Source organism: Homo sapiens, chromosome 5 (assembly GCF_000001405.40).
Source record: "Homo sapiens chromosome 5, GRCh38.p14 Primary Assembly".
Lineage (NCBI taxonomy): Eukaryota > Metazoa > Chordata > Mammalia > Primates > Hominidae > Homo > Homo sapiens.
In genome coordinates, this window is record NC_000005.10 from 58,388,393 (window position 1) to 58,408,534 (window position 20,142).

The window sequence follows — 20,142 nt, forward strand, 5'->3', positions numbered from 1 at the left end:
AACAACAGACAAACAGAGAGCCAAATCATGGGTGAACTCCCATTCACAATTGCTTCAAAGAGAATAAAATACTTAGGAATCCAACTTACAAGGGATGTGAAGGACCTCTTCAAGGAGAACTACAAACCACTGCTCAAGGAAATAAAAGAGGACACAAAGAAATGGAAGAACATTCCATGCTCATGGGTAGGAAGAATCAATATCGTGAAAATGGCCATACTGCCCAAGGTAATTTACAGATTCAATGCCATCCCCATCAAGCTACCAATGACTTTCTTCACAGAATTGGAAAAAACTACTTTAAAGTTCATATGGAACCAAAAAAGAGCCCGCATTGCCAAGTCAATCCTAAACCAAAAGAACAAAGCTGGAGGCATCACACTACCTGACTTCAAACTATACTACAAGGCTACAGTAACCAAAACAGCATGGTACTGGTACCAAAACAGAGATATAGATCAATGGAACAGAACAGAGCCCTCAGAAATAATGCCGCATATCTACAACTATCTGATCTTTGACAAACCTGAGAAAAACAAGCAATGGGGAAAGGATTCCCTATTTAATAAATGGTGCTGGGAAAACTGGCTAGCCATATGTAGAAAGCTGAAACTGGATCCCTTCCTTACACCTTATACAAAAATCAATTCAAGATGGATTAAAGACTTAAATGTTAGACCTAAAACCATAAAAACCCTAGAAGAAAACCTAGGCATTACCATTCAGGACATAGGCGTGGGCAAGGACTTCATGTCCAAAACACCAAAAGCAATGGCAACAAAAACCAAAATTGACAAATGGGATCTAATTAAACTAAAGAGCTTCTGCACAGCAAAAGAAACTACCATCAGAGTGAACAGGCAACCTACAACATGGGAGAAAATTTTTGCAACCTACTCATCTGACAAAGGGCTAATATCCAGAATCTACAATGAACTCAAACAAATTTACAAGAAAAAAACAAACAACCCCATCAAAAAGTGGGCGAAGGACATGAACAGACACTTCTCAAAAGAAGACATTTATGCAGCCAAAAAACACATGAAAAAATGCTCATCATCACTGGCCATCAGAGAAATGCAAATCAAAACCACTATGAGATATCATCTCACACCAGTTAGAATGGCAATCATTAAAAAGTCAGGAAACAACAGGTGCTGGAGAGGATGTGGAGAAATAGGAACACTTTTACACTGTTGGTGGGACTGTAAACTAGTTCAACCATTGTGGAAGTCAGTGTGGCGATTCCTCAGGGATCTAGAACTAGAAATACCATTTGACCCAGCCATCCCATTACTGGGTATATACCCAAAGGACTATAAATCATGCTGCTATAAAGACACATGCACACGTATGTTTATTGCGGCACTATTCACAATAGCAAAGACTTGGAACCAACCCAAATGTCCAACAATGATAGTCTGGATTAAGAAAATGTGGCACATATACACCATGGAATACTATGCAGCCTTAAAAAATGATGAGTTCATATCCTTTGTAGGGACATGGATGAAATTGGAAACCATCATTCTCAGTAAACTATCGCAAGAACAAAAAACCAAACACCGCATATTCTCACTCATAGGTGGGAATTGAACAATGAGATCACATGGACACAGGAAGGGGAATATCACACTCTGGGGACTGTGGTGGGGTCGGGGGAGGGGGGAGGGATAGCATTGGGAGATATACCTAATGCTAGATGACACATTAGTGGGTGCAGCGCACCAGCATGGCACATGTATACATATGTAACTAACCTGCACAATGTGCACATGTACCCTAAAACTGAGAGTATAATAAAAAAAAAAAAAAGAAAAAAAAAATAAAGAAAATGTGGTATAAATACACAATCAAATACTAAAAAAAAAAAAAAAAAAAAAAAAAACACCAGAACAGAATAAAGTAAATGAAAGCTAACAAATTCAAGGTTTGTTTGTCTGGCTATCTATTTTAAACCTCAAGTGGAGACTTAACCAAATGTGGGTTTATTTTTCTCACATAAGAAGATGTTCAGAAGTAGGTAGTCCCAGGCCTTTACAGAGGTTTGGAATGTCACTAGGCACGTCTTATCTTCCCATGCTGTCATCCTCAGTGTGGGGCTTTCATCTTCATGCTCACAAGATGGCTGTTGCACTCCTAGGCATCACATACACATTCCAGGCAGAAAACAAAAAAAGGGCAAAAGGCAAAGGGAAAGATGCCCAATGCATTTGTCCCTCTCAAAACACCCCCAGACCACCAGAAGATTTCTGTTTACGACAAATTAATCAGAACTTTGTACTCTTGACTCCTTTACTTACAAAGGAATTTAGAAAATTTAGTTCAATATCTGGCTTTAGTGAACAAAATTAGAAGCTATCATAAGGATCACAAAAATGGTTATAGAGGCAACCCTCATTATTTACCATGGAAAGATATTATTTACAGACAATCGGTTTGTGGAATAATCTAAAAGAACCTATGAAGAAATTACTAGAACTAAAAATACTAGATGTATAGACATAGATAAATATACAATTGAATTCCTATATACCAGTGACAGAAAATAAATAAAAAGGATTGCTACAATAGTGACAAATATTATTTTATTTGATTTGATTTTTTTCATAGATAGCCTCTCTCTTGGTTGCCCAGGCTGGAGTGCAGTGGTGCAATCATTGCTCAATGAAGCCCTAAACTCGCGGGCTCAAAAGATCCTCCTGGCTCAGCCTCGCTGAGCAGGTGGGACTACAGGCATGCGCCATCACACCCAGCTAATTTTTTATTTTTATTTTGTAGAGATGAGGTTCTCAATATGTTGCCCAAGCTGGTCTCAAATCCCTGACCTCAAATCCCTGACTCTCCTGCTTTGGCTTCCCAAAGTGCTTGGATTACAGACATGAGCCACCGCCCTGGGCCCCCAAAATTTATTATATACCTAGGAATAAATACATCTAATAAAACATGCAAGAGCTTATTAAGAATAATGTTAAGCTTTAAAAAATGTAAACAAATACCTATGTAAAGGAAGAGCTATATCATATTCATGGATGTAAAGAGTCAGTATTATTGACATAGTAATTCCAACTTAATTTATAAATTCCATGCAACAAGATATTTTGTAGACCTATGTTTTATAATGCTATTTTCTGCCAAAGCTGATCAAAAAATTGAATTTTATAATGTACCTTCTTTTAAAAATATTACTGTTTTTAATGTAGTCATTCTTTTCATCTATGGTTTGTGATTTCTATATTGTTTAACATACCTTTCCCTATCCTGAGGTCATAAAAATAGTCTCTATGTCCTTTTCAGAAGGACTCCCCTTTTTTCCTTTCAGTATAAACCGTAACCTCATGAAACTTAGTGAACAGGTTTCAGGTTACAAGGTGGAATTCTACAGAGCACATTGATGGAATATGTCTGCTAAATCCTCTTCAAGACCTTACGAGTAGAAGAAAATACAAGCTGTTTCTAATCGGGTTCTCAGGAAGGCCATTTGCTTAGTTCAGGCAGCCAACATCAGCCTATGCTAGGATAACGAGAGAGACTTGTGTTTTTGTCATTAGACAGGAAACTTGGGCTCAGGGAGACACACTGGCCGCTCCTCCACACCCCTCCAACTCTCCTTCAGAACTCTATCTTTGCCATGAGTATTCCTGAATTGGGGCTACACTATGTCAGCTCCCATTTTTATTTTTAACAAATAATCTCTTTCTCCTTAGGCTCCACAGTGCTTTTTAAAAAGAAATTCTTTAATAGTTCTCTAAACATCAAGTTTTAGTCATCCTCTTCAGTAATTGTTTCTTTAATTGCTCCTTAAGAAATCAGATTTTTTGGCTGGGCGTGGTGGCTCATGCCTGTAATCCCAGCACTTTGGGAGGCCAAGGTGGGTGGATCATTTGAGGTCAGGAGTTTAAGGCCAGCCTGGTCAACATGGTGAAACCCCATCTCTACTAAAAACACAAAAACTAGCTGGGAGTGGTGGCGCATGCCTGTAATTCCAGCTACTTGGGATTAAAAAAATAACAACAACAACAAAAAAACAGATTTTTAAAAATTGTTTTTGTCAGTTTTGGTCCCTTAACTCTTCCTTCTTGATTTCTGTTGACAATCATAGAAACAACTACCGAGGCTGCCTCTAGAAATATTCAGAGGCTTCCAAGCTCCTCTTTGGGAAACACTGATTGGCAGAACTGGCTCTCAACAGCATTTATGAGAAAGGGTTTTGCTGTTCCCCCTGCTGTGTTTCCCAGCATCTGTTCATTCTTACTGCTTCCCCACCCCAGATTTCCCGGGGCACAGCTCTTAGCCTCCACGTCCCTTCACCTCAAAATGCAGCAGTCCATCTTCTATTCCCTGTCTGAATCATTCCGCTAAATTAACCTGATAAACCAATCTGCATTGATTTGTGGTGCTGGGTAGAAAGTGGGCTTCTGTCTTGCTGCTTCTCCTTGATATGTTTGCATTTTAAAGGGAATTTTAAGCAGTCCCCACTCATACAAATAACTGACTTTAATATGGAAATAAAATATCTCATTCAGAGCAGGTATAGGGAGGCTAAAGTCAGCTCATGCATGTGAAAAATAATAAAGCCCTCGATAGATTTAAAGAGTGATTGTTTTTATTTCTCTCACGGGCAAGCAAAGGAGGGAGCTCTTCGCTCAGTTGCTTCTTAGGCCCCTTAAGGTACATCATTTAGGTGCTGCCTATTTCAGCACAGGGAGCTGGGATTATAGGTGCTGCTCTAATTCCAGGAAAACTGCTATGGCAGGAAAATTAAAACAAGGAGGGAAGATAGAACCCAAGATATATGCCTAGAGACTTCATACATAAGTGTGGGAAAGAGGTTTGAGATAATCAGCATGGTTTTCTAGCATGAATTATTATGGATACAAAAGTGATCACCCAGGCAGCGTGTGAGAAGGGAGGAAGACTTGCTGCCTCCTCAGCCTGGTTCCTAGAATGATTATGCAGGGAGCTTACCTGAGTTCTGAGAAGGGAGGAGGACTCTGATTGGAATCCTGGGAAGCAACTATATGTAAGAATCAGGCCAGAGAAGAGCAGCTTGCAAGGGACATGTTCAGAGGGGTGGGAAGAAAAGCAGGAAGTAACACCACTACCAAAATCACCTATCATTTATTGGCACTTTCTGTGTTAATCTTTTCATATGCATTTTTCTCCTAGTTATCACAGCAACCCTGTGAGATAGGAATTATGATCTCTCTTAAACAGACATAAGTCAGAAACAGCAAGTAATTTGCCTAATCCACAGAATTGAGGATTGTCCTGTTGGGGTTCTATGGATGAAACTATTGGCTCCACTTCACAACTCCCTGTATTCACACCTTTTGCCATGTGACTTTGCGGTCCCTCTTACCGGAGGCATGGTGTACTTCCTCACCCCTTGACTGACTTTGAGCTTGGTCATTTGAGTTTTATAGACAAAAGGAATGTGGGCAGAGATAACAACGTACCTGTTTCAAACTAGGACTTAAGAGGTATGCCAGGCTTCCACTTGCTCTCTTGTGTTTCTGGCATCACACCAAGCTTGCTGCGTCCTCAGCCTGGTTCCTAGAATGATTATGCAGGGAGTTTACCTGAGTTTTATCTGCAGCTAGCTGGATCTGCAGCTTGAGGTACACTCACCTAGCAGATCCCCAGCTGATCCACGTGACTAAATCTGGCTGAACCATCCCAGCTGATGTTCTGACATATGAGAAATAAATTCTTATTATTGTATTCCATGAAGAGTATATGGTTATTTTGTTACACAGCATTTTTGAGGGAATAGCTAACTGATGCAGAAGTGAACTCAGACAGTATGATTCCAGAATCATACGCTCTTTTTGAACCTTAAAGATATCAGGGAAATCAGAAAAGTCGAGTTTAAAGAGACAAAGAGTAGCCATCGTGGCTATATGCTGCAAGGTTAAATAAGATAATTGTAAAATGTAGCATTTCAGAGCATTTTCTGTATGCACAGGTTTGAATTACAATGCAATACTTCAGCCAAACCACAGACAAGCAGCAGGTACAGAAGTTTCACGCAAGAACACTGTGACAGGCAAGCAGATGTCTCCAGAAAGAAAAGTCTATTTGAACAACTGGCAGACATGAATTCTACCTCTAATGCTGGAACATCCGGCAAAGAAGCCTTGAGGGGAGGTGACTAAGTAACAACAACTATGGAAATCAAGCATAAGCTAATTTGCTGTACATCAATACTGTAACCTAGAAAATCTATGTTTGGTGATGTGTGATCCACAGGCAATCACCATAGAGAGCAAAGCATAAACATAATCAGACAATTTAGGTCTTACTATTCTATCCTTTTTTATTTGATCATTTTTATTAGACATAGGTATATAATGATCATTTTGAATTTACTATAGTTTTATTTTAATCTTTCAAATACAATCAAGAATATAAGATATTGACAAAATGGATAATTTCTTATTTGATCCACAGAAAATGTGTACATATTTGATCTTAGTCAAAGGTTGTGAGGCAAGAAGAGCCAGAGAGAGCATCTGGATGCTTGAGCTTGAGTATTGAGTATTCACAAGCACTATACCTGACCTTACTGTCCAGACTGCATATATCTCATCTATAAGAGGAGAGCAAATCAATCATAGTACTTGCTTCCAACCTAGATTACTTATATAACAGCCTTTCAGCTCTAAAATTAAATAAATCTCTTAAATATCACATAGAACTCTTGTGATTAACTTCTTAGAACATGTTGCTAGAAGAATGAAGGAATTTTTTAAAGAAGGAAGCTTGCAATCCCTGACAAGACTGTGATATGCGGAAGCTTACAACCAATCCCCACCCCCACGAACAAGGCTAAAGAAAAAAAATTTAATGAAAAACTTTCATCAGAATTGGATCTAAGGAACTGTGCAACCCTTTACGACAAAAGTTGATGATTTTGGTTTAGATGGAGTGTGTTTAGAATAATATCAAAGACTGACTCACAAATCCTCTTTTCAAAAGAATGGAGCAATATTACAGAGAATAAGCAAAGGCGACCCCAGGAATGAAAACCCTGGCAGAATATTCCAGAAGACTTTACTTTGGAGGGCTTGGCCAAGTCCCAAAGGGCACTAGAGAATAAAGTATCACCGCCATGGATTAACAGCAGCTCGAGTCTCCAGGAGCAGCACTCTGAGAAACAGTAGCAGCTATACCCAGTGAACACCATGGGAGAAGTGTGCGTCTTTATGACCCAGCTTCTCAGTGGAGTCAAGAACTGATTCCAACACGAGATGGTACTTTCAAAAATGGAGACGAATCCCCTAATCTGAAGGAGGGAAAGCTAAAGATGATGCTAGACTGCAGAGAGGTGGGGACCAGCTTACCTAGAGCTGCTGCAGTTGAAGAGCATTCAGGAGCAGCTGTGCTGGAGGGAGACGAGGTCACTGCTTCTCTGCGACCGGACTTTCTCCCCAGTGCGACCAGTTTGCTCTGATCTGCGAGGACCACTTTTTAAAAATAGAGAGATCCCCGGTGGAAGAGAGAATCCTCTGCTTCAACAGGAAATCTACAGCCTCCATGAGGGAGATCCAGAAAAACATAGCCACACTTTGTATCTGGAGTACAGATTGGGCCAAACTGAAAGCCAGAGACAGAAAGTTGGTCCCTGGTGCAGGGGTCTTAACCAAGATTTTTTAAAAAACATGCAGAGCAAAAATTGCCCTCCTGAGACTCTATACCACATCCTCACTCTCATTTCCCCTCCAACTATAGACACCCAAGTTCCGAATTGGTAATACAAAGACTTTTTTTCTTAATTTTCATTCAGGATTCCAAACTAATTTTGAAAAGGAAGGCCTTGTCAGAGCCCAGGAAAACCAGGAAGAAACCATAAGAAACAGCATAGATTATTTGGGGGCATCTACTAAGCCCAGATAAGCTTGTCCTTATTCAAGAATGAGTAACCAGAAGAAGAAGAAGAAAAAAAAAAAGAACACTTTTGAGTCTATGATGGGATTCTGCAATGCAAAAGAAGACAAAGCATGAAAAGATCAGGTGAAAGTATCAGCTGAAGAATGACAAAGTTTATAAATTTCGAAAGGAGACCTTGATTTCTCATAAAGTGTTGCAACCTGCAGGTTGGCTATTCTGACAGGCTAGGAAGCATAGCCTCAGCCAGAAGCTGGGAAGGGGCAAAGGGAACAGGAATTTATAGGAACAAGATGGACAAATATGCATATTCAATAAACTATAGGAGGAGTTATGAATATTTATGAGAGGAGAAATGTGCACATACGCAATGGAGTTCAATGCTCCTTCGTGGGTCCCATGTACAAAAGTGGCTGCATTAGCATCATCTAAGGGTGGCATTTTCAGTTCTTCTATGTCAAAAGGTGAAGCAAAGGACACCCTTACTGCACATTCTCCATAGACTAACCAGAATCGTTCTGTGGTTGGTGGTCTCTTATCAGGCAGAAAAGGAGGGGCAGTGTCAGCTGGTTGGTTGATATCAGTGGTGGACTCTTGAAAGGGCTGGTTTCTGTTCAGCCCTTAGAGAAGAAAGCCTCATCCTGGTTAGAGAGGGAGGAGGTACAATGAGGCGTGTCTAACCTCCCATGCTCTCATGGCTGAGAACTCAGTTTTCAAGCTTATTCTGGGGTCCTTGGCCAAGGGATGGTCTGTTCAGTCCATTGAAGGGCTTAAAAGTTTATTTTGATTTCTCAAGAGTATACTTTTAAAGATTTACTCAAGGAAACGTAAGTGAAGTTTTAGGTAGAAAATGCTTTGGCTTCTCAAAGAAATTAAAGAAAGCATGGTAAAATGAAACAAAGATGATAACACAGAGGCTGGAGATAAAGTGATAGTAGGCAGAGCTGAGATAAAGTTTTAAAAAGCAAAACCAATGCAGAATTTTCAATAGTATCAATAGAAAACACAATCTACATTGCAGAAAATTAAAGTACTGATAAATACTGCCTTGAAAACAATCACTTAGATTTCATAGGAAAGAATATGAAGAGATCATTAGAACATCAGAGAAAAGATGATAAACATAAAAAACAGTAAAAACATAGAAATAATTTGCTTTTCTAAAAATATTAGAATAAATGACATGAAAATAATATGGAAAGCTATAGTAGAATCCCGCCCATCAATCTGATAAAAGAACCCTTTGGTCGAAAAGAAGACTCTTCATATCAGGCAAATTTTACAATAATCAACTGACATTTAAACAAAACCTAGGAAAATCAGTGAATATATAGGATCAAGAAAACTAAAGACACATACAAACACCTACATGTAAAAAAGAACACCTGTGTATCATCAAAGAGAAAAAAACAATCAGACACCTCATGTAGAACATCAGATATGAGAAGACAATAGATCAATATGCAAAGTTTTGAGAAGACAAGACTAGGAACTGAAAATTTTACATTCATTCAAGTTACTGTTGCTGTGTATAAGCAACGGAAAGACATTCCTGTACTTGCAAAGACTCCAGAAGAAAATCTTCAAAATCTGGCCCAAAAATTTAGCCCAAAAAAGTGGATAAAATTAAGTACTCACAAATGGCATAATTGATGAAGAACTAGTGTTGAACACAAAAATCATGTAAGTTACCTTTAAAGTTACAGATGGAATCTACTCACATATTTCTTTTATAAAACAAGGTGAATATCATAGTATTTATAAGAATGTAATAATAATTAATTGGTACAAAGACTGCAGAATTTATAATAGTCAAAAATGGGAGGTGAGTGTGTGGGGAAAAGATATTTAAGTATGCTACTTTCTTAATCTTAACTAGTCAAGCAATAACAGATGCATTTCATTCCTGGCATTGATAACTGGAGTCATTTAGATTAGTAGATTATATAAGGATCTTAGTTTTGTTTTGTACCAGTATTTTCTTTCTTTGGTGAGAATAATCAAGTGATTGACTTTTGAGTTTGCCTTCTAGAATACAGTTTGTTCCAGGCCAAGAATAAATTTCAGCCATGAAACCTGAAATTAGCTTCTTGAAAAGTATGAATTCTTGATGCACAATGAAGCATAATCCATGATTACTGCCAAAAGATGTGCTCTGTTATCATTACCATTAATTTGTGAGGCATAAAAAATCCAAGTATTTTTGAAATTTCCTAAGTATTCTTCATATGATTTGCTGAAAAAGATTAATGTTAATTTAGCTGACTAGAAGAAAAAATAAAAGAAAGCAGAAGTGTTAAATATGTAAATTATGTGTATGCCTTTAGTAAAAGTTCATCTTTAATCTTGTTCAAAAATGTCTTTCAGAATGTCAGATAAAACTCTCTCATTTGGCCCCTCTCCCCTTTTGCCTGGCTACAGAATTTAGAGAAGGTAGCTGTAAAATACCAGGGATAACCCACGGCCGTTTCTAGCCTTTGTCTTTGAACTCTGACATGTCAAGGTCAGGCAGTAGGCCCAGTAAAGTTGCACACAGGAGTCCAGGTGATCATGCAAACTCCAAACCAGGTGATAGTACTCCACATTCACCCAAGCACACTTATGCCTGAATGGAGACTTAATCAGCATTACCAAATATGTCCTGGAGTATCTTTAATGTTCCATAGGGCAGCTGATCCTATTGCTTTATGTAATGTCTTTTAGAGGCACACTGTTGCTGACAAGCAACCTTACCAGAGTTAAGAAGCAAGAAATACTCATCCTGAGTAACAAGAGAGGAATAACCATAAAACACTAAACTTGGCACTTTACTCCACCTATAGCCAATGCCAGAAGAAGAGAAGTAAATTGGAAGAAAGAAAACAGACACTGTGGAGTATCACTTTTGAAATAATAGACCCTGCTTAATGAAGAAAAATGAAGCTCAGAGAAGTTAACATGTCCAGGTCAACATAGTAAGTGATGACACTGGGATTTCAATCCAAGTCAGATTCCCAAACCTAGCACTTAGCACTATAATCTTCTACCTCTTAAATTTGCTAGGGATTAAAATTTTGATTTAAAAACAAGCCAAAAAAGATATAATTTTCATACTCTACTACTAATAATTCCTGGAAAGGAAGAAATTTTCAAAATATGGAAATAGGGTTTATATTTGACTTAGGCCCTTCGAAGTGGAAATCTTTGGTTTGGACCTGCTTTGAAATTTTAGAATGGATATTTGAAATGTTTAGTGTTTAACTCCATTCATTAATTGAAACTACATGCACATCATTAAATAAGGCTCAGAATCAGCACTTCTCTAATTACATTAAAACACACAAACAACTCAGGTAAGAGAAATTTTGCTGAATTTGGTTTTAAGCAACTTTATTACCTACTACATTAATCAGGTTAACCAAATTACCTTGAACTTACTGCTTTATTTTGTGATAAACAGATTGTTGGACATAATCCCTGATTCACCTCCTGGACCCTGCATGGCATTTTTCATTTTTTGCATCCAGTTAGGCACCAAGTCATAGTCATATTCATTTTACTCCCATATGCATAGGAAATATGTATTTTCATATTTATATCCACAATCCTGTCTCCTAGGCTATAGTAATATCCTCCTAATTACACTCCTTGTAATTGCTCTTGCATGACTTCTAGTCCATTTTTTATACATCAAGGTAATCATTTTATAAAGGGAACATGATCATGTGATCATGCTTAAAGCATATTACAACCCTTAAGGAAAAAGAAAACCCAAATCTGTTTATTAGCCCCTCCTCATTTCTTGGCTAACAGTTACTCACCTTTCAGGTCTCACATTTCCTCTGGGAAACCTTTCCTCTCTGGCAGTTAAATTCCTACCAGGCATTCCCAAAGCAGGCTGCTTTCTCCATTGAAGGTGGTTCTTGTTAACACTGATGATTACTTATTCAATGTTTGCCTTCCTGACCAGACTGTAAGCTCCAAGAAGGCAGGGGCTTCTTTAGTCTTGTCACTGCTCTGTTTTCAGCCCTTCCGGCAATTCTTGGTGCTCAATAAATATTTGTTGATTTGATTCATTGAATTATGTATATACTTACAGTTTATAGAAATCTGAGAATTCAGAAATTCTCAGATTTCTGAAACAATATTCTGAAACAATAATTCAGAAAATATAAAACTGGAGAATTCACCTACCTGTTTTGGGGTGGCACCATACCACCCTAACCCTTTAGTAGGTGGTCTTAATCCTTTTTTAGTGGCCAGTCCATGTATTGAAGTCATGAGCATCACCTGATCTTGTCATAAAGCCAAGAGGAGGGCTTCTTCCTCCAGCTGCGGGCTAGATTTGGGTTCTGCTCAGTGATCCTTTAGTTCAGAGCAGATGAGTATCTATTATCTGGTATTATCAGAGGAGTCTTTGAGCTTTATTTTTTACAAATAGTGGTCAGTTTTATTGCTGGTTACAAGGCATGAAGTATTATAAAAATCAAGGCTGTACGTAAATGCCCCTGAAAAGCTGTTGAAATTCCAAGTAATCTGCACAGTTTTATCCAAGTGACCAAAGCACTTTCAACAACCTCAGGAAAAATCTACCTATGCCAACAATTAGATTAAAATGAGCTATTTCCAGAGTGTTAAGTCTCTGCATGCTCTAAATTCTGCCAGGAATAGATCATTCCAACAGAACTATTTGTCCTGAAGAGAAGCATGGATACTCTGATAATGCGCTTAGACCAGATTGTGAAAAAACAAATAAACATCCAGGTCATGGCCCTTACTTTTTCCATTCAGGTTATTTATATGCCAATGTTTCACTACAAGTTTTATGAATTTGTAAATTTATTTAGCAAATGCCACCACAATTTCCTTTGAAAACATGTTATTGTACTATGAATAAGAAAGACAGAACAGACATATTGGCTCCTGCCTGTAATCCCAGCACTTTGAGAGGCTGAAGCAGGAGGATCACTTAAGGCCAAAAGTACAAGACCAGCCTGGGCAACTTAGCAAGACCCTGTCTCTACAAAAAATAACAACTTCAAAAGAAAGAAATACGTGTTAGAATTCTCACATTTCTCTTGATGAAGAATCAGAACTGGGAAGAAACATAGAATGAAATAACTATATACAATCTAACTCTGATTATCCAAGGTTAGTGAAGAGAAACAATAATTCAGAAAATATAAAACTGGAGAATTCACTTACCTGTTTTGGGGTGGCACCATACCACCCTAACCCTTTAGTAGGTGGCCTTAATCCTGGTTTAGTGGCCAGTCCATGTATTGAAGTCATGAGCATCACCTGATCTTGTCATAAAGCCAAGAGGAGGGCTTCTTCCTCCAGCTGCGGGCTAGATTTGGGTTCTGCTCAGTGATCCTTTAGTTCAAAGCAAATATTTATTGAACATGTTCTATGTACCAGATATGCTCACAGGTTGTATTGATACTGTCCCCCAAACAACCTTAAATTTTATAAGTCAACTATATCTCAGAAACAGCCCAAGTGATATGTTCCAGGTCACAGAGAAATTTAGAGAGAACCAGGGTTGGCACCCCAGCCTTTAGACTCCCCTGAGCCATGACCACTCTGGGTCTGACCTCAGCTGTCGGCATCTCACAGATCCCTGGAGCAGGTAGCATTCTTCGAGAATGGTCTGGAAGCCTGCCAGGATTGATCACAGAGGTGATATTCAGTGAGCAGGAGCCTTGGCAGCAGGGAGGCTCTTATGTCTCCCACCCTGAAAAAGGGAAAGAACTCCTTCCTCTGCCCATGATTCTCAAGCTCCCACAGGCCTCTTATGTTTAACCAGGTTCCAGGGACCAGAAACCAGCTCTTTCCACTGGCTCTGCTGGGCAGGCCCTCTGACTGAAGGCTCCCCCTTGGGCATGGCTTAACGAGCCCCTTTCCTGTACACCCTGTCCCTGAGAAAAACCTAAAGGTAGAAGGAGAGCATTTTTCCAGTACACCTGAGCCAACCCCTGCCTTAGCAAAAATATGAAAACCTGAAAAATGGGTTTCTTTTCTATAATCAAACCTGAAAAATAGGTTTCTTTTCTGTAATCAAGATTTCTTAAAACTGCACTTCCTCAGAATTCTGAGAGTTATGGGTGTAGGACTCAGGAATAGGTATAAAGAGGCTTGATAATCAAACTTCTGATGAGCTTCACAGCAGGCAGAGTGCCTCACTTATCTTTTTGTTTCTTATCCTGCAACATAACTATTGAAAACTTTTGAATTTCATCAATAAACGAATACCTGAATGCTAGCATGCTTGTTTTAGAGTTTATGACAGATAAATTGAGCAGATAGATGAGGAAGATTATGATTTGGTTTTGCTTCGTTTTGTCTTTCTCTCCAACAGTTTTTCCTTACATTAAAATGGCATGATGTTTAACCCATAGATTACACCAGCCCCTCAAACATCATTACAAAGTTCTCTCCTCATGCCCTCTCTTTGGTCACATCCAATAGTCCCAGAACCGGTGTCATTATGTATTTGGAAGAGAGCAAGACCCCTAGATTACACAATTACTTAGGGAATAGTCCTTTACAGAAATTCAGAGTAAACGTGAAGAGGTAGGACAGAAGAACAGCTGGTACAGATGAGGAAATCTCAGGAAAAACAAATAGAAAACTGCAGAAAGAAAAGGGAGTTTCTCCTCTTCTGATGTTAATAAGCTGTTACAAAATTCATTTTGTGAAATCTGTTTTATTAAGCTGTTTTTCTTTATATGCACATAGTTGACATGGAAAATAAACTACTTACATCTGGTAAGTAATTAAAAATACTTCTTGGTTCCATACATTTGTGCCAACTAGAGAAGTAGAAGTGACCCAAAGTAGCCCTGAATGAAAAAGAAGAAATAAAGTATCTAATCATTTCGACTCTTATTAGGCCACTAACGTAAATCCATCTCAGGATCAAATAGTCTCCCACTAAGTCATGTCTTGGCTTTATTTTCAAAGACTTTTGCTTTGCTAGTCCTACATTCATGTCTTAGAGACAATCTTAAGGAATTAGGTAATTTTATTTCCTGTGTCATTAAGTGCTTATTTAAAATACTTGCAGACCTTGCTGGCTACCTCTGGAAAGCTTAGATTTCCCCCCAAAAAAATATGACATAAAACCACACAGTTTTATGGATCCTGTTCCAATAATCTTTTAGCTTTTTTGCTTTTAATACTTTCCATTGGTACGATTTAGTTAATTCTATTAGGCTACTTTTGAGACCTGTTTGTTCAGGGTGACTCTCACAAAATTAAAGCCACTAAATTGCACAACTACAGAGGGTGCCATGCACTTGGAAGACTCCAGATCCCCAAGCTATGGAGTCAATGGATTTCCTTATGGTTTTATACAACTCTCCACAAATTGCTTAGAAACCCTCCTTCCCCAAAGTTTCATTGGAATGTGGTCCTTAAACTATCAACCTAAATCTACTAGAAAATCTTATCAACTCTAAATTTTTATTTGCATACAGATAAAGAAGAAGCTTAGTGTTGGATGCTCTTCTTGGTCTCCTAAATGTCTCACTCATATAATGAGCACTGACCATCAGTAGGAGGAAAAATATATTCTGTGAGAGCTACAAAAAACATTGTCGCTGTTCTAGGAATGATTATTGGGAGGAAGACTTTGACAGGTTATCCCCAAATTGGGCATTCTTCTGTGTATTTTTCTGCCCTTGGTAGTCCTGGAGAGTACCAGTGTGGATGAGCTCATATCACCTATTCAGCTCCAAGGACAGCAGCTCAGTCATTGACCCAGGCAGACATACAGGTATTACAGGACGGTAAGCCTTTTAGACACAAAGAGGAAATACAGTGCATTATAATTGTGACTCTAGAAAATAAGACTGATACAGATCTTTAGATTTGCCTATCCAAATGAAATTTAAACATCTAAAAATCACAGAGCTTTATGAGTAGCAGTAGATTCTTACTGTAAAACTGTACCTGCGTAATGAGACATGCTGGAACATGAACCACTATGAAATAATTCACATATCTCAGTGTTCAGATCGCTAATGGAAAGAATGTATGTGACATGGATACAACTCTACGGTATAAATATATAGGTATGGAACCCTTAAAAACATGTTTTGTAAAAAATACTATATACACCTAACTGAAACCTTTTAGGTGCATAATAGTAATAAATATTTCTTATTCTGTACCCCTCCCCACCCCCACCATACTCTCAAGAAAAGCCTGTTTAGATTTGTGCTTTTATCTGCATCAAAATTTTTCTTATTTAACACATGTTAAATTTGTGTTGGTATCATATATTCTTTTGTATGTCTTTTCATCGAATGGTATTTCAAAGACTACTGCTATTTGCATGCAAGTAACTGTATGCAATTATTGTCAGATTGCAAACGTGGTTACCTGGGTTTGGCACAAGAAGGTGCAGATACAGTGTGATCTACCATGTTAGGAAATGTCACATTTTACTCTTCTGATGTTTAGTTTTTAATTACTTGAAGAAGTTTAAACAATTAATTTGTTGATAAAAATAAGGCTGCTTAGGTACTGCCATTTTGACTAAGAAAACAAACTATCTGCCAACTAGAAACTCAAAGCCCCACCCAAGAGTAATCATCACTTTGTAGCTTGACACAGTGTTTTACTGGAAAGATGATTGTCTACTTCAGGGAATAGCCTCTTTGGAATGTGAATTCCATATGGTTTTGTGAATAGAAGTTCAACCATTTCAGCAGCACATGATTCAGAAGAAGTCAGGTAAGCCTATTAAACCAAGTACACTGTCAATTGCAATGGTAAACGTTTGGTGAACGGGGAAAAGAGAAATGGCCATTGGTAGCTCTTCAACTCCAATTCTGGATGGCAACTTGTAATCAATTTATAACGGAGGAACTGGCAATGGAGATAGTTCTCCCAATCCACATTACGAAACACAAAATCTAGTAGAACAGCTTTTGAAGGCTTTTAGAAATAACAAGTTTTTCTGGGGATGTTTTCTGTAGATTAAGGACTGGGAAACTAGTTAGCATCCTCAGAGTCGACTTTGGCAAGCTGAGGAGCCCTAGCTTGTCAGGGAGCTTCACCCTTGCCTGCCTGAGCAGGCAATCGCTGACTTCAGTGAGGAAATATATAATGCCTGCAGCAGGGGAAGAACCAGCTATTCAGTCTTTCTCTCTTCATCCTTATTTCCACTCCCTTTTCCTTTCTCAACTTTCTCTACTGCCAAGAAAAGCATGTGCATGAGGCAACAATAAAGTAACTCAACAACTGAGGTAGGAATGGCAGTGGTGAGTGTGGATGTCAGAGGAAAAAAATTATATAATATTGCTGTCTTAGAGTCTTGATGTTTCCTCTTCCACTAAAAAGATTCAGAATAAAACATTTGCTTTAATCCCTAAGCAAAGAAGATAATTGCTGTAATATGGACAGTACTCAAACCCACCTAGACGATCCCTTCCTGAGTGGGTCTCAAAAAGAGCATCTTTGTGACTTTGTGAGATGTCTGCATGTGAGCTTGCACCTCTTAGCCCTTCTCCTAAGTTTAGCTTAGGAATTTGGGATCTATAACTAAATTTCAGAAGTTTGGGTCTTCGCTTTCTCTCTGCCTTTTTGACACACTCTTTTGTTATTTTTATTATGGTTACTTAAGACTTCCTAAGCATTGGCAGTAGCAGATAAGAGCTATGCCAAGCTCCTCTGCTCTTCCCCAGCTGACCTGCTCAGCACATTATGCATTTATTGGATTGGGGTTTGGGTATGTTATTTTGCCTTTATGGGATCCATCACTTGTAGTATAAAAGAGATTTTTAGACATTCATCCAATTCTATGATTCCATGACAGGTGACATTAATTTCTTCATTTGAAAATTAAATAATTCTATAATGAACTCCATTACAGGAAGATACTATCAAAGACAAATTTGTGAAGTTAAGAGGGACAAAAAGGGGTTGTATAAATGATCTAAAACTCCAAAGACACTAAGTGGTAGAGGCAGGAATTGATGCCATATCTGTGTTTTGTTATCCAGGTCATGTATTTGCATTTAACTAATATTCTTGGAATCAAAATTCCTTAACATTAAAGAAAGTTTCTAACAATGGAATGTCAGGTCTGAGAGACACGTGTGGCTGACAGGGGAATTTTCTGAAATCCCTGAAGACCTATAACAAGCCAGTGGCCCACTTAGTCTCACTAAAGGATTCAACGCTGCCTTGCAGCCCTGCTTTGCAAGAATGTGGTGAAAATTTAGGCCTTTTTGTCTGCAGTGTTACCTGATTCATTGAAGAAAATGACTTGGTCAAGAGATGTCTAAGAATTCACCTTGATGACCAGCGCTCCCTATTGTTTTGCAAATCTCATCTCAACTAGAATGTTGGGGAAGAGTTTATTACCATATTTCCTGTGGTGCTTCTCAGTCAGCAAAAATCTTGGAACATTAGGTGCAGCCTACTTTCTCCAAACATTGTTTTAGGTTGATTACTAATGTGATTACAATGGTTACCTTCCCTTTCACAAGTGTACCCTATGTTACATGTATGTAAATGCTTTAAACTGTCATGCTAATAACATTTTTTAACATTTGAGTCATATTTTAAATGCTTCAGATAATTTCACTATTTAAGAGAGTCTCTTCTGAAAAGCTCTTTCCAAGAAGGAAATGGTTTCCTAATTCATTAATTTTACCAATTATGTTTTCATATGTTGTATTTTTGTTAAAGAGGATTAAAATTATTTGGAGAAAAGTTCTATGCATACTCTAGATCTTATCGTGGTGATGAAAAAGTTTCTATCCATACTCTAGATCTTATTGTGGTGATGACTTCAAGATACACCGTTTCTTTTGTTGAACTGGAAAGGTTTCTTTGGCAAATCATTTATATGAAAAGGTTTTCTGGTCTTGTCTTTTGTTAATCCTAACAAGAAAAAGTTAGCAGATTGGTAGCTACAGACTAGTGAACTATAGACACTTTGCAAGACTAAAAGTGATTAGTCAGTGTGGAATCAGCAAAAGGCAGGGGAAACTAGGAACTGGAATGCAGAGCTGTGGCTAGAAGACAGAGGGATGGTAAATGGAAAGGGGATGGAGGGATTTTCACAGTGCAAAAATCAGGTGAAGCCCACAGGTGCATATGAGTGAAAGCCACAAACAAGGCTGAAAACCCTTTTCTCCATCCCAAAACATTATAATACACTGTTAGGAAATATCAGTGTATTTGCATCAATCAAACAATGTTCTTCCAGCCACCCAAACTTGCAACCTTGAGTCATCTTTGAGTCAGAGATGTCAGGAATTTCAGAGCTGGGTAAAGTCTTAAAGGATACTTAATCCAATCTTTGCTTTGCAGACAAGGCCATGCAGTTTCAAGAGATCCTGCTTTTGGCAAATTCACATTACAAACAGAACCAGGCTTGACACTCAGTCTCAGAAATTCATATCAAGTCTTCCTTTCACTGCTTAGCCTGGTTCTTCCCTTTTCTTCATCAGCTATTCAGTCGGACACCAATTCTGCAGACTCTTCTTTAGGAGGGTCTCTGATGTCAATCCCTTTCCATTACCACCACCCTGGTCTAGGCTGTGCTCCGAAATGACTTTCTAAAAATGCTCCATACCACTTGGCTTTCTGCTTCAGTTCACCATAGATACTTTAATCTTCCTGGGACACTAATTTCATGATATTTCTGAAGAACCCCCTCGTTAAATTCTACTATCTTGGGACAGCAAAAAGTATTCAGGTTTTGGACTCAGATAAACTTGGGTTCAAATCTCTTGTCTACCTCTAAACTTGGATAAGTTACTTAGCTTCTCTGAAGTTCATTTTCCTCATCAGTAAAATGAGAACTACGATAATAAATTTAAAAATAAAACTGGTGACTATAGTGCAGATGGAATGACTTCATGTATGTTAAATTGCTTAGCAGATAAAAGATGTTCAAAACATGTAGATTTTCTTCCTGGAATTCATACTCTTCTGCAGTCTGGCTCCTACCTACCTTTCAATCTTGTCTTTTACTATCTCACCAGACAAGTTTTTTGCCTCAGCCAGATTGGCCTATTCATTACCTCCTGAACACTCTGTTCTCAGTTTTAACTGCTGGAGTTTTTCCTGCTTCCTAAAGATGTCCAACCCTTTTTTATTTATTGTATTATACAAATCTTTCTGATTTATCACAGCCTGTGTTTTTTCAATTCTTGCTTTTGCCCTCCAGGAGGAAATACATACATATATATTGTTCAAACAGGATGCATGGGAAAGAGTCTAAAGTCTTTAATGCTGAGCTGCTCCCAA

General features: G+C 38.3%; 1 long non-coding RNA gene across 2 annotated transcripts, besides 1 other annotated feature; it reads right to left on the reverse strand.

Moving 5' to 3' along the window:
- Positions 1-1,875: 1,875 nt before the first annotated feature.
- Positions 1,876-12,408, reverse strand: LOC105378984 (uncharacterized). 2 transcript variants are annotated; one of them, XR_948352.2, is made up of 3 exons: positions 12,064-12,408; positions 5,460-5,556; positions 1,876-2,139 (listed from the first exon to the last, which is right to left on the reverse strand). It is a non-coding gene; the product is annotated as an uncharacterized LOC105378984 (long non-coding RNA). The 2 variants fall into 2 exon arrangements; XR_948351.2 differs by lacking the exon at positions 12,064-12,408 and adding an exon at positions 11,691-11,877.
- Positions 17,875-18,523: an enhancer, noted in NCBI's record as "OCT4-NANOG hESC enhancer chr5:57702094-57702742 (GRCh37/hg19 assembly coordinates)". NCBI's record gives its function as "activates a minimal SCP1, AML or CMV promoter by ChIP-STARR-seq in naive H9 embryonic stem cells {active_cell/tissue: H9 hESC(naive)}" and the evidence as "EXISTENCE:reporter gene assay evidence [ECO:0000049][PMID:30033119]".